The sequence below is a fragment of the Homo sapiens genome, chromosome 5, assembly GCF_000001405.40.
Source record: "Homo sapiens chromosome 5, GRCh38.p14 Primary Assembly".
NCBI lineage: Eukaryota > Metazoa > Chordata > Mammalia > Primates > Hominidae > Homo > Homo sapiens.
The window spans coordinates 131,408,462-131,423,920 of record NC_000005.10 but is presented as its reverse complement, the minus strand read 5'-3'; the positions used below and the strand labels follow the sequence as shown (position 1 = coordinate 131,423,920).

Sequence of the window (15,459 nt, the reverse complement as noted above, 5' to 3'; positions counted from 1 at the left end):
TCTTCTCTGTACTTAATTATAAATGTATGGAACTGATGAAATAATTACAAACTTAGTCATTCGAGAGTGCCAGTCTGGGACCTGTGTTGGTGTGAAGGCCTTATTTTTTAACTATCCAGAAAAATTGGAGTGGTCCATTTGTTGTTGGTTATGTCAAATCTGTGAAACACCATAGCTATTGTTTAGGTTTAAAAAATTGTGTTTGATGGCATACCAAGTTAACAGTGGCTTAAACTCAATTGGGGCTTGTCTTTTTGTTATTGTTGTCTGTTTCTTTTTCTTCTTACAGTAGAAAAGTCTACAGACAAAACTGTCCGGGGCTGATACTGTAACTCCTCCACGATGCTGTCAAGGATGGCAAAAGTAGGGGTGAAAAGGATAGGCTTAGGTAAGGAAAAGGTGCAAATATGTGTCTCTTTCTACGCAAAGAGAACAAAACAGTAGTTTCCAGAAGCTCCACTTGCATGTTTGTACTTACATCCCATTAGTTAGACCTCTGTTGCATGACTGGTAGCTCCAAGGGTGCCTTGGAAATTATCTATTTTATCTGAGCAATTGATGTTCCTAACAAATTTAGGACTCTTCAGTGAAGAAGGAAAGAATAGATTTCAAATGGGCAGCCAGCTGGGTCTACGAAAGCATGCCTATTGCCCCCTCTTTTGGGCAGTATATGTAAATACAGCCACTTTTATGGGATTAGATCCCAGGACCCTGGCAAAGTAGAAGGAAATTCTACTTTAGCTCCTTTTTTAAAATCTCCTCACAGTTTTCCCTCGGTACCCAGAGAATGTTACTCCCATTATAGCTAAGACTTCTACCTTCTTCCAGTTCACCCCCTCTTCACCAGGTTTTCCCAGGCCATTCTGTCCCCCTGACCATCTCTCCACAGTCTCACTAGTTTCTTTATTTAGAAAATATATTTCTTCACCGGGCATGGTGGCTCACGCCTGTTATCCCAGCACTTTGGGAGGCCGAGGCAGGCGGATCACGAGGTCAGGAGTTCAGGACCAGCCTGGCCAACATGGTGAAACCCCGTTTCTACTAAAAATACAAAAACTAGCGGGGCATGGTGGCGGGGTCGTGTAATCCCAGCTACTTTGGAGGCTGAGGTAGGAGAATCTCTTGAACTCAGGAGGCGGAGGTTGCAGTGAGCCAAGACTGCACCATTGCACTCCAGCCTGGGCAGCGAGCAAAACTGTCTCAAAAAAAAAAAAAAAGAAAAGAAAAAATACACATATTTATATTTGTATCAGATGGCACTGGTGAAATGAAATTTTTTTTAAGTAGAAAATAAGTATAATTGAAAAACGGCTACCCCAAAATATCAAGCTCTAATCCCTGGAGAACTTGTAAATATTACTTTATTTGGAAAAAGGGTCTCTGCAGATGTAATTAAGCATTTTAGAGATGAGATTATGAGTGGGGCCTGAATGCCATCACAAGTGCCCTTGTAAGAGAAACAAAGGAAGATACCAGAAGAAGGCAACATGAAGATGGCAGAGAGGGATGTAGCCACAAGTCGAGTAATGTTGACAGCTTCCAGGAGCTAGAAGAGACAAGGAAGGTATTCTCTCCTAGAGCCTCTAGAGGAAATGGTGCCTTGCCAACATCTTGATTTTGGATTTCTGGCCTCCAAAATGGTGAGATGATGAATTTCTGTTGTCTTAAAGCCACCCGATTTGTTGTAATCTGTTACAGCAACTCTAGGAAACAAATGCAAGTTACTATATATGTCTGATGTCAGAAATCCAGTCCCTGCAGTTAAGGATGTGTTGGTCCAGAAATACACTTCCTTTAACTTCTTCCACCCCCAAGAAGCACTTGATAGACGAAGAGAAGAACTGGCTCTCCCAGAAGGTGCCTCTGGAGAAGCCTGGTCAGCCTATTATTTTTCTCATTTCAGACATTCTGGTAAGTATATACTGGTATCTTGTGGTTTAAATTTTAATAGTGACTAATAATGCTAGGCATCTTTTCAAATACTTATTGACCATTTGGACCATTTTGTGAAGTCTATTCAGGTCTGTAATTGTTTACTATTTGTTGCTACAGTATTGAACTATTGATTTTTATAATGACCTTATATCTAGCTCTCTTGCTCAGTTCATTTATTAATGCTAACAATTTGTGGATTCTCTTGGAATTTTCTGCATACTCATATCTGTTCATAATAACTTATTTATTTCTAGTCATTTTGTATTTTCTTTTCTTGTCTTTTGTTGTTGTTGTTGTTGTTGTTATTGAGACGGAGTCTCGCTCTTTTGCCCAGGCCGGACTGCGTGGTGCTATCTCGGCTCACTGCAAGCTCTGCCTCCCAGGTTCACGCCATTCTCCTGCCTCAGCCTCCCGAGTAGCTGGGACTACAGGCACCCACCACTGCGCCTGGCTAATTTTTCGTATTTTTTTTTTTTTAAGTAGAGACAGAGTTTCACCGTGTTAGCCAGGGTGGTCTCGATCTCCTGACCTCGTGATCCGCCCGCCTCGGCCTCCCAAAGTGCTGGTTTCTTTTCTTGTCTTACTGCACTGGCCAAAATGCCCAGTATAGTGTTGAATAGAAGTGGTCAGAGTGGGCCAGATCCAGTGGCTCACACCTGTAATCCCAGCACCTTGGGAGGCCGAGGTGGGAGGATTGCTTGAGCCCGGGAGTTCGAGACCATCCTGGACAACATGGTGAAACCCCATCTCTACAAAAAATTAGCTGGGTGTGCCAGTGCACAGCTGTGGTCCCAGCTACTTAAAAGGCTTAGTTGGTAGAAGGATCACTTGAGCCTAGGAGGTGAGCTTTGATCACACTACTGCATTCCAGCCTGGGTGACAGAGTGAGACCCTGTCTCAAAAAGTGGTCAGAATGGAATTCCTTTCTTTGTTCCTGATCTCAGCGAGAACGCATTCGGATGTCACCGTTGAGCATAGTGATTGCTGTAGGATTTTGGTGGTATTTATGAGTTTAAGGAAGTTTTATTTATACCTTGCTAAGAAAGTATATGCTGTTGAATTATGTCAAATGCTTTTCTTGAATTTATTGAGATGATCAAATTATTTTTCTCTTACCTGTTAGTCTAGTGAATTAATAATATATTTCATAGTGTTAATTCCTCCGTGTCTACTCCTGCCCTCCTACCTCACCATTCGTTTTGTTAGAATAAACTTCCTACTTAGTCATGTTATTTCTGTGTATCTCTGGATTTATTTTGCAATATTTCTTTCTTTTTTTTTTTTTTCATTTGAGACAGAGTCTCGCTCTGTTGCCCAGGCTGGAGTGCAGTGGCGTGATCTTGGCTCACTGCAAGCTCCGCCTCCTGGGTTCACACCATTCTCCTGCCTCAGCCTCCCGAGTAGCTGGGACTACAGGCTCCTGCCACCACGCCCAGCTAATTTTTTTGTGTTTTTAGTAGAGACAGGATTTCACCGCGTTCGCCCGGATGGTCTCGATCTCCTGACCTCGTGATCCGCCCACCTCAGCCTCCTAAAGTGCTGAGATTACAGGAGTGAGCCACTGCGCCCGGCTGCAATATTTCATTTAGAATTTTAGCATCTGTATTCAAGAGAGAGGTGGTGTATAATTTTCCTTTCTTTTCATACCCTTGTCAGATTTTGGTGTTAATGTAAAAATGTCCTCGTGGAAAGAGCTGGAAGTTGTTTCCTCTTTGTCTATTCTTGGGAGAGTTTATGAAAGATTGAACTGTAGCCCTTTAGCCTCCCTGACTCTTGCCTCTGTCTCTTAAAATCTGGAAAAATTGGTGGACTCTGGTCTGGGTTTCCCCTCCCTTGCATTATGGCCTAGAAATGTTGTTCAGGAAATAAATTCTGGGGCAGCGGCAGGGCTTACCTCTTTTGTTTCATGTTCGGTCAGCAGTTACTGTTCTTCAGTGCCTGATGGCCCGTGTCTTAAGTGACATTGTTTTACCTACGTTGTTCAGTTTTTTAGTTGCTTCAGGCAGGAGGATAGAGTGACAGGTATTCCATCTTGACCAAAAGTAGAAGTCTATATATAAGATTTTAACACAGCTGTCTCAGGAAATGATAGAAGCACACACACACACACACACACACACACACACACACACACACACACACCCCTTCCCACCAAATCAGTAAGGAAATAGTGATTGGAACAACATAGTGAACAAACTTAATCTAATGGGCCTGTATAGAACACTGTATCAATAACTGCAAAATATATGTTATTTACAGATGAACATGGATCATTTATCAAAGTTGAATAAATGTTAGGCCATAAAGAAACTTACTAATAAATTTCAGAGGGCTTAAATCATATAGAGAAGGCAGTCTGATTACAGAAGAACTAAATAAAAATTATGAAATTTGGAAGAAATGTAGCTCCAAATCCAGTGGAAAATGGAAAGTATTTTGAACCGAATTGAAATGAAAATAAGAATATCAGAACCTTTTGGATATGATTACCCAGGCGTGGTGGCGAGTGTCTGTAGTCCCAGCTACTCGGGAGGCTGAGGCACGAGAATTGCTTTTTGAAAAAATAATTGGTAAACCCTTGGTGAAAATGATCAAGGGAAAAAATGGCAGAACTAACCAGTGTTGGAGATGGAAAAGAATTATTATTTGGTGGGCGGGGGTGGGGACAGGATCTTGTTCTGTTGCCCAGGCTGGGGTGCAGTGGTACAGTCATAGCTCATTGCAGCCTCAACCTCAAGTGATCTCCCACCTCGGTCTTCTGAGTAGCTGAGATTACAGGTGTGCCCGGCTACTTATTTATTTTATTTTTTTAAAGAGAAATGAGATATCACTATATTCCCTGGGCTGGTCTTGAATTCCTGAGCTCAAGCAATCCTCCCACCTTGGCCTCCCCAAGTGCTGGCGTTACAGGCATGAGCCACTGTACCCAACCAAAGAATTATTTTATTTATATATATATATTTTTTAATTTATATATATTTTTTATTTATGTATACTTATATATGTGTATATATAAATAAAATATATTTTTTATTTATATATAAAATATATATTTATATATACGTATATATACATGTATATATACGTATACATATATATGTGTATATGTATACGTATATATACATGTATATATACGTATATATAAATATATATTTATGTACATATATGTGTGTGTGTGTGTATATATATATATATATTTTTTTTTTTTTTTTTTTTTTTTTTTTTTTTTTTTTTTTGAGAAGGAGTCTCGCTCTCTCACCCAGGCTGGAGTGCAGTTGCGTGATCTTGGCTCACTGCAACCTCTGCCTCCCAGGTTCAAGCAATTCTCCTGCCTCAGCCTCCTGAGTAATTGGGACTACAGGCGCATGCTACCACACCCGGCTAACTTTTTGTATTTTTAGTAGAGACAGAGTTTCACCGTGTTAGCCAGGATGGTCTTGATCTCCTGACCTTGTGACCCACCCACCTCAGCCAGAATTACTATAATTACAAAGAAATTAGAGAGATATTAAGACACTTTGAGTAAGTAAAATGTACATGAAATATACAAATTCATAGAAAACACAGCTTAACAAAACTATAACAAGATGGAAAACTTCATAGTCCTCTATTAAAGAAATTAAATCCTCTTTAAAAGCTTTTCCACAGAGAAAACTTCAGTCTTGGATGACTTTACTGGTAAGTTCTACCAAACACTTACAGAAGAAATAACAAAGTTGTATAACAAAATTTCAGAAGTAATAAGGATTTCTTTTTTCTTTTTCTTTTTTTTTTTTTTTGAGACAGAGTCTCACTCTGTCACCCAAGCTGGAGTGCAGTGGCACTGTCTTGGCTCACTGCAACCTCCGCCTTCCAGGTTCAAGCGATTCTCCTGCCTCAGCCTCCCAAGCAGCTTGGGATTACAGGTGCGCACCACTGCGCCCGACTGATTTTTGTATGTATTTTTTTTAGTAGCGACAGGGTTTGACCGTGTTGGCCAGGCTGTTCTTGAACTCCTGACCTCAAGTGGTCTGCCCACTTCGGCCTCCCAAAGTGCTGGGATTACAGGCGCCTGGCCAGGATTCCTTAAATAAGGTAAAAGAAAATGTAACTCTAAATGAAGTGATTGATATATTTGACTATACTAGAATGCATTCACCAAAAAACACCATTTACAAAAACAAAAAGCCTGTAGAGTTGGGAAATATATTAATTCATATAACCGTCAAAGGACAGGTGTCCAGGTATGTAAAGTACTTCTGTATACCAAAGAAAAGGAACACCCAATAGAAAAATGGGCAAAAACCTTAATGAAGCACTTCATAAAAGAAAAAATTATCTAATAAACATACAGAGAAGTGCTTTATCTCATTCTGTAAAACTCTGCATAGGTTCGGAATTGGCCATGGCGAAGTGTTAACTGTGCTGCTGTCTAATGTGGAATGTAGTGGCAGATGAACCTGGGAAGAGGAGAAACAAGAAAAGGGCTGAAAGGGGGAAGAGATGGTAGAAGAAAAAAAATACGTTGGATACAGTGGAACCACCAGGTGGCGCCACGCTACAATATGACTCTTGGAAGTCTCCTTTTAAAGAGAGAGCAAGGTAATTTCTTAGTCGTCATTGCAGATGTTTCTGCAGCCAATAGTGAAATATTTGACAAAATTGAAGCATTTCCAAACCAGGAAATGTCATAGAATTTTAGGTTCTAGTTGGATAATCTTTGGATAACAGTGAATGATAGTATGGTATTAGCAATACTCTAATATGTATATTGTTTGTAAATGTGGGCATAGGATTTGCAATACTCAGTAAGCATTGGATTTTTTCAGGGACCACAAGAGAAACCTACCAGAAAATACAAATGGTCCAACTCTGAATGGGAATGAAAAACATACCTGTACAAAATATGCACTAAAAAAAAAAAATCAGAAGTCTAACAATATATATTGAACAACTGTGTATTACAAAGACTCCCTGGCAAGTTCTCATCTGTTCTGACCAGTTGGTATTTTCAGCGTTCTTCTTTCACTTTGGCCATTTTGGTTGGTATGTAATGGTATTGTGGTTTTAGTTTGCATTTCCCTAGTTATTAGTGGGGTTGAGCACCTTTTTCATATTACTATAGGCCATTTCCTCTTTTATGAAATGCCTTTGTAAGTATTCTTTTCTAAATCGATTTCGAGGTGTTCTTTATATATTCTGGATCTGACTCCTTTGTCAGCTATACCTGTGGCAAATAGCTTGTCCCTCTCTGACTTGCTTTGTCATACACTTAATGGTGTCTCTTGAGAAGTTCTTAACTTTAAACTAGAGAAATGTATTATTCTTTTCCTTTATAGTTAGTGCTTTTTGTGTTGCAGGGTTTTTATTAAATCATTTTCTACTGACTTTTTTTTTTTTGAAATGGAGCCTTGTTCTGTAGCCTAGGCTAGAGTGCAGTGGCGCCATCTCAGCTCACTGCAGCCTCTGCCTCCTGGGTTCAAGTGATTCTCCTGCCTCAGCTTCCCGAGTAGCTGGATTTATAGATGTCCACCACCACTCCCGTCTAATTTTTGTATTTTTAGTAGAGACAGGGTTTCACCATGTTGGCCAGGCTAGTCTCAAACTCCTGACCTCAAGTAATCCACCCACCTCAGCCTCCCAAAGTGTTGGAATTACAGGCGTGAGCCACTGCACCCAGCCTTTGTGTTCTGCTTAAGAAGTCCTTACTCTAAGTTCATGATTATATTCTGTGTTACATTTTAAATGTTTTGCCTTTTAAATTTAGCTCTAAAACAGATCTGGAATAGATGTTTATGTGTAGTATGAGGTAGGAGTCAGGTTTCATTCCTCTACCTACAGATTGTTCCTGCACCATTTATTGAAAAGACATTTTGTCTAGTGCACTTCACTGCCATCTTTGCTGTAAATCAAGTGTCCATATATACTTGAGTGTCCAGTATACTTGAGTTTATTTCTGGGGTCTGTATTCTGTTTCATTAGCCTGTTTATTTCTCCATTTTCCAATACCACACTCTTAATTACTCTAGTATTACACATATCAATATCTTAATGAGAAAGTTCTCTAACCCTGTTCTCCTTTTTTGATGTCTTGTATCATTGTATTTCCAAAAAATTTTAGAACCAGCTTACCAACTTACACACAAGTACACTTACACATATGCATACAATTGCAATTTTCATTGTGATTTTCTTGAATCTATATATCATTTTGAAGGAGAGTAACATCTTGAAATTTAGTCTTCTGATCTATGAATGTAGTATATTTCTCCACTTAGATTTTCTATTGCTCTGTTTTATTGTTTTGGTTTAAGAGTTTCATACTTTTTATGTAAGATTTATTTTTAAGCAGTATGTTTGATGCTATTATAAATAGTAGCTTCTAAATTTTCAGTTGTTAATTATTCTCTCTTTTAAGAGATGGTTTCTTGCTCTGTTGCCCAGGCTGGAGTGCAGTGGTGCAATCACAGCTGACTATAGCCTCGACCTCCTCCAAGGTAGAAGGGACTACAAGTGCACACCACATGGACCCAGCTAATTTTTTAATGTTTTTGTAGAGACGGGGTCTACTAATTTTGCCCAAGCTGGTCTTGAACTCCTAGGCTCAAGTGATTCTCCTGCCTTGGCTTTCCAAAGTGTTGGGATTACACTTACGAGCCACTGTGCCCAGACTTTGATTATTTTTTGTCAAATAGAAATAAAATTGATTTTTTAATGTTGTTCCAGTGTCCAACAGTCTTACCAAACTCACTGAATCCTAATAATAATAATAATCTCAGATTTTCTATATAGACATGTAATCTGCAGCTAAAGGCAGTTCTATTTCTTCCTTTCTAATTCTTATGCCTTTTATTTTTTCAGTTACCCAGAACTTCCAATATAATGAATAGAAGTGATGATAGAGAAAAACTGTCAACAATAAATACACTGTGTGCAGTAAGTTTTATGTATTAACTCTTTGTCAGATTAAGAAAGTTCCCTTCGATTTATAATTTGCTGGAACTTTTTAATTATTAATAAATGTCAGACTCTATCAAATGCTTTTTCTGCATGTATTGAAATAATTGTGGGTTCTTGCTCCTTTATTCTATTAACATGTCCCAATTACTATGGCTGTGTAACAAATCAACCCAAAATTTAGTGGCATGAAACAACCATTTATTATGCTTGTTTATTGTTCAGGAATTTGCACAGGGTTTAGAAAAGCTGGCTTTTCTGTGCTCCACAGTGATTAAGGCCTTAGCTGAAAGATTCAGGCTCAGGACAGGAATTATTTGAAAGCTCATAGCTGAGAGTTAATGCTGGCTGTTGTTTGAGGCCTCTATTCCTGACCACGTGAACCTCTCCATGTGATCTCTCCATATGGGCTGTTTTGGCCTGCCTCAGATCATGGAGGTTGAGTTTCAAGGGCAAGTATCGCAAAAGAGAGAGCCAGGCAAGCTGTATCACAGTGTGTCACCCAGGTTCAGTGACAGGGAAGCAGAGGAAATTGTTGATAAAAAGTAACAAGGTTCTAGAAGACCATGTCAGAGAATATTGCTGTGGCTGTTTTTGAAAAATACAGTCTGCCACCCTGGTGTCCTAGTAGTCATGCCCTTTGCCATTTTCTACTGTATCATCCCCTTGGTTATGATTGAGACCTGTGAGTTGCTTCACAGCAATAGAAAATGGCAAAGGTGGTGTAATGTAGCTGCACGATTATGTTACACTGTATAAGACTCCATCTTGCTAGCAAACTAGCTCTAGGCTCTCCTTGGCTTAATGAAGTGCACATGTTGAGGAGGCACATGGGGACATGAACTGCAGGAGGCCTCTAGGAGCTAAGGGAGGACTGCAGCCAATAGTCAGCAAGAAGCCAGAGCCCTCAGCTCCCCAGCCACAGGAAATAGATTCTGTTAACCATTTGCGTGAGATCGAAAGTGGCTTCTTCCCTAGTTAAGCCTAGACAAAAACAGGCTACAGTTCAGTGATCTCTGAAGGTAGTACTGAAAAATTCAGTGTCCTGTTGGATAAGGTGCTCATCCTTTCTAAATTTCAGTTTCCTAATTTTTAATGACAATATTGTTATCTGTAGGGGTTCAAATAAAGTCCATTCCATTCTGATTGGGAGAGCACAGTGTATATTTTACACTGGAATACTTGAAATGCATTTTATATAACATTTAAAATACATATTTCAAAAATATTTCTTTAAATTATCAATATTAAAAGTAATATTATTTAAATTATTATCAAATAAAATCTCTCTGTCAACAACAGAAAACCCAATTTAAAATGGGCAGAAGGTCGAGCAATGCCTGTAATCCCAATACTTTGGGAGGCCAAGGCAGGAGGATATCTTGAGTTCAGGAGTTTGAGACTAGCCTGGGCAACATAGAGAGACCCCATCTCTACAGAACATTTTAAAAATTAGCCGGGCATGGAGGCGCGTGCCTGCAGTCTCAGCTACTTTGGAGGCCATTCAGGAGCGTCACTTGATCCTGGGAGGTTGAGGCTGCAGTGAGCCGTAATCACACCACTGCACTTCAGCCTGGGTGACAGAGGGAGACTCTGCCAAAAAGGGGTTGGGGGCAGCAAAAATGGCCGAGCACTGTGGCTCACACTAGAATCCCAGCACTTTGGTAGGCTAAGGCAGGAAGATTACTTGAGCCCAAGAGTTCACGACCAGCCTGGGCATCATGGTGAGACCCTGTCTCCACAAAAAATTTAAAGATTAGCCAGGCGTGGTGGCAGATACCTGTAATCCCAGCTACTCAGGAGGCTGAGGTGGGAGGATCGCTTCAGCCCAAGAGATGAGGCTGCAGTGAGCCCTGATTTTGCCACTGCACTCCAGCCTGGGTGACAGAATGATACCCTGTCTTTAAAAAAAAGGTAAAAGATTTGAATAGATATTTCTCCAAAGAAGATAACAGTTGGCCAACAAGCACATGAAAAGTGGTTCAGTGTCACTAATCCACAAGTCAAAATCACAACAAAATACCACCTCACACCCATGAGGATGGTTACTGTCAAAAAAATTGAAAATAACAATTGTTAGAGAGCATGTAGAGATATTAGAAGTCATGTACACTCTTGATGGGAATGTAAGTAATGCAACTGCTTTGGAAAATAATATGTAAGTTCCTCAAAATATTAAACATGGAATTACCATATGATCCAGCAGTTCCACTTCTGGGTACATATATATGTGTGTGTGTGTATATATACATATATGTGTATATATATGTGTGTGTGTATATATACATATATGTGTATATATATATATGTATATATGTGCAAAAGAATTGAGAGTAGGGTCTCAAAGAGATATTTGTACACCCTTGTTCATAGCAATATTATCAGCAATGGCTAAGGTGGAAGCAACCCAAGTGCCCATCAGTGGATGAATGGATAAAATGCTGGATGCATACAATGAATGAAACATTATTAACCTTGAAAAGGAAAGAAATTCTGACATGCTGCAAAATGGATGAACCTTTTTACAATTGTTTTAATTTTTTTTCTTTTTCTTTTTTTTTTTTTTTTTTTTTTTTGAGACGGAGTTTCGCTCTTGTTGCCCAGGCTGGAGTGCAGTGGTGTGATCTTGGCTCACTGCAACCTCCGCCTCCTGGTTTCAAGTGATTCTCCTGAGCCTCCCGAGTAGCTGGGATTACAGGCATGCACCACCATGCTCGGCTGATTTTTGTATTTTTAGTAGAGACAGGGTTTCTCCATGTTGGCCAGGCTAGTCTTGAACTCCCAACCTCAGGTGATCCGCCCACCTCGGCCTCCCAAAGTGCTGGGATTACAGGCGTGAGCCACCATGCCCAGCCAATTGTTTTAATTTTTAATTTTTTTTTTTTGAGATGGAATCTCGTTCTGTCACCCAGGCTGGAGTGCGGTGGCACGATCTCAGCTCATTGCAACCTCCGCCTCCCACATTCAACTGATTCTTCTGCCTCAGCCTCCCTGAGTAGCTGGAATTACAGGCATGTGCCACCATGCCCAGCTAATTTTTGTATTTTTAGTAGAGACGGGGTTTCACCATGTTGGCCAGGCTGGTCTCGAGCTCCTGACCTCAGGTGATCTGCCCACCTGGGCCTCCCAAAGTGCTGGGATTACAGGTGTGAGCCACTGCACCCAGCCAATTTTTTTAATTTTTAACTTTTGTGGGTACATAGGTATATATATTTATGGGGTACATGAGATGTTTTGATACAGGCATGCAACATGAAATAATCAGAGGGAGAATGGGGCATCCATTCCCTCAAACGTTTATCTTTTATATTACAAGCAATCCAATTACACACTTTTATTTAAAAATGTATATTACTGACTGTAGTTACCCTATTGTGCTGTCAAATAGTAAGTCTTACTCATTCTAACTATGTTTTTGTACCTCTGGTAACCACCCTTCTACTCTCTATGTCCATGAATTCAATTGTTTTGATTTTTAGATCACACACGTGAGAACGTGTGATGTTTGTCTTTCTGTGCCTGACTTATTTCACTTAACGTAATGATCTCCAGTTCCAACCATGTTGTTGCAAATGACACGCAGGATCACATTCTTTTTTATAGCTGAATAGTATTCCATTGTGTATATGTGCCACTCAATTTTTTTTTTTTTTTTTTTTTTGAGGCAGGGTCTCTGTCACCCAGGATGGAATGCAGTGGCGTGGTCTTGGCTCACTGCAACCTCCACCTCCTGGGCTCAAGTGATCCTCCCACCTCAGTCCCCCGAGTAGCTGGGACCACAGGCATGTGCCACTACGCCCAGCTAATTTTTGTATTTTTAGTAGAGACAAGGTTTTTGTCATGTTGCCCAGGCTAGTCTCAAACTCCTGAGCTCAAGCTGTCTGCCTGCCTCAGCCTCCCGAAGTGCTGGGATTACAGGCATGAGCCACCGCGCCTGGCCTGTGCTACGTTTTCTTTATCCATTCATCTGTTGATGGACACTTAGGTTGCTTCCAAATCTTAGCTTTTATGAGCAGTGCTGTAACAAACATGGGAGTGCAGATATCTTTCCTTTGTTTTGGGTATATATACCCAGCAGTAGGATTGTTGGATCCTACTGTTGGATGGTAGCTCTATTTTTAGTTTTTTGAGGAACCTCCAATAGTTCTCCATAGTGGTTGCACTAATTTACATTCCCACCAACATTGTACAAGGGTTGCCTTTCCTCCACATTTTTGGCATTTGTTATTGCCTGTCTTTTGGATATAAGCCATTTTAACTGAGGGTGAGATGATTTCTCATTGTAGTTTTGATTTGTTGCCATTTGTATGTCTTTTGAGAAATTTCTATTCAAACCATTTGCCCATTTTTTTTATTGTATTAGATTTTTTCCTATGGAGTTGTTTGAGCTTCTATATATTCTGGTTATTAATCCCTTGTCAGATGGGTAGTTTGCAAATATTTTCTCCCATTTTGTGGGTTGTGTCTTCACTTTGTTGATTGTTTCCTGATTGTTTCCTTTGCAGTGCAGAAGATTTTTTTTTTTTTTTGAGATGGAGTCTTGCTCTGTTGCCCAGGCTGGAGTGCAGTGGCATGATCTTGGCTCACTGCAAGCTCCACCTCCCAGGTTCACGCCATTCTCCTGCATCAGCCTCCCAAGTAGCTGGGACTACAGGCGCCCGCCACCACACCTGGATAATTTTTTGTATTTTTCAGTAGAGACGGGGTTTCGCCGTGTTAGCCAGGATGGTCTCAATCTCCTGACCTCGTGATCCACCCGCCTCGGCCTCCCAAAGTGCTGGGATTACAGGCGTGAGCCACCGTGCCCGGCCCAGAAGATTTTTAACTTGTTGTGATTCCATTTGTCCATTTTATTTTATTTTATTTTATTGAGACAGAATCTCACTCGGTTGCCAGGCTGGAGTGCAGTGGCGCGATCTCGGCTCACTGCAGGCTCCACCTCCTAGGTTCAAGTGATTCTCCTGCCTCAGCCTCCAGAGTAGCTGGAACTACAGGTGTGCGCCACCATGCCCAGCTAATTTTTGTATTTTTATTAGAGACAAGGTTTCACCATGTTGGCTAGGATGGTTTTGATCTCTTGACCTTGTGATCCACCCACCTCAGCCTCCCAAAGTGTTGGGATTACAGGTGTGAGCCACCACACCCGGCCCCATTTGTCCATTTTTGCTTTGGTTGCCTGTGCTTGTAGGGTGTTGCTCATGAAATTTTTGCCTAGACCAATGTCCTGGAGACTTTCCTCAATGTTTTCTTGTAGTCGTTTCATAGTTTGAGGTCTTAGTTTTAAATCCTTAATCCATTTTGATTTGATTTTTTTATATGGTGAGAGGTGTCTAATTTCATTCTTCTGAATATGGAAATCCAGTTTTCCCAGCACCATTTATTGAAGAGACTGTCTTCAGTGTATGTTCTTGGCACCTTTGTTGAAAATGAATTCACTCTAGGTGCATGGACTTCTTTCTGTGTTCTCTATTCTGTTCCATTGGTCTTTGTCTGTTTTTATGCCAGAACCATGTTCTTTTGGTTACTATACCTCCATAGTATAATTTGAAGTCAGGTAATGTGATTCCTTCTGTTTTGTTCTTTTTGCTTAGGATAAGCTTGGCTGTGCTGAGTCTTTTGTGGTTCCATATAAATTTTAGGATTTTTTTTTTCTATTTCTGTGAAGAATGTCATTGGTATTTTAATAAAGACAAAATAGATGAACCTTGAGAACAAACATGCCAAGTAAAATAAGCCAGTCACTGAAAGACAAATATTGTATGATTCCACATATATATGGATACATGAGAACATGTATATGAATTTATGAGGTACTTAGAGCAGTCAAATTCATAGATAAAGTAGAATGGTGGTTGCCAGGCGTAGGGAGAAATGGGGAGTTATTTAATTAGTATAGTTTTGCAAGATGAAAATGTTCAACAGCAATGCGAATGTGGTTGTACAACATGTGAAAGTACTTAACACTACTGATATCGTACTCTTAAAAATGGTTAAGACTTCTGGGCTTGATGGCTCACACTTGTAATCCTGGTACTTTGGAAGGCCAAGGTGGGTGAATCACTTGAGGCCGAGAGTTCAAGACCAGCCTGGGCAACATGGTGAAATCCTGTCTCTACTGAAAATACAAAACTTGGCTGGGCATGGTGGCGTGCGCCTGTAGTCCCAGCTACTCAGGAGGCTGAGGTATGAGGTTTACTTGAACGTGGGAGGCAGAGGTTGCAGTGAGCCAAGATCACGCTACTGTGCTCTAGCCTGGAAGACAGAGGGAGAATCGGTCTCAAAAAAAAAAAAAAAAAAGACCAGGCATGATGGCTTATGCCTATAATCCCAGCACTTTGGGAGGCTGAGGCAAGAGAATTGCTTGAGCCCAGGAGTTGAAGACCCGCCTGGCAACAGAGCAAGACTCCTGTCTATACAAATAAAAACTTTTAAAAATTAACTGAGCATGGTGATGGGCACCTGTAGTCCCAGCTACTTGGTTGGCTGAAGTGGGAGAATCGCTTGAGCCCTGGAGTTAGAGGCTGCAGTAAGCTATGATCCCACCACTGCATGCCAGCCAGGGCAACAGAGTCTCAAAAAGGAAAAACA

General features: G+C 40.6%; 1 long non-coding RNA gene across 2 annotated transcripts in view, besides 1 other annotated feature; it reads left to right on the top strand.

Annotated features, from left to right (window-relative positions):
• Positions 1-1,218: 1,218 nt before the first annotated feature.
• The window catches only part of LOC105379173 (uncharacterized), a 28,063-nt gene continuing 13,822 nt past the window's right edge, over positions 1,219-15,459 (top strand). The window contains exons 1-2 of one of the 2 annotated variants that reach the window (XR_007058929.1): positions 1,219-1,911; positions 6,744-8,850. This is a non-coding gene — a long non-coding RNA (uncharacterized LOC105379173). Of the gene's footprint in view, positions 1,912-5,961; positions 6,517-6,743; positions 8,851-15,459 lie in introns of those variants that run through there. The other variant, XR_007058930.1, reaches the window with a different exon arrangement.
• Positions 15,021-15,202: a silencer, noted in NCBI's record as "fragment chr5:130744412-130744593 (GRCh37/hg19 assembly coordinates)". NCBI's record gives its function as "represses an EF-1alpha promoter that drives an FKBP-Casp9 reporter gene in an ReSE screen in K562 erythroleukemia cells {active_cell/tissue: K562}" and the evidence as "EXISTENCE:reporter gene assay evidence [ECO:0000049][PMID:32094911]".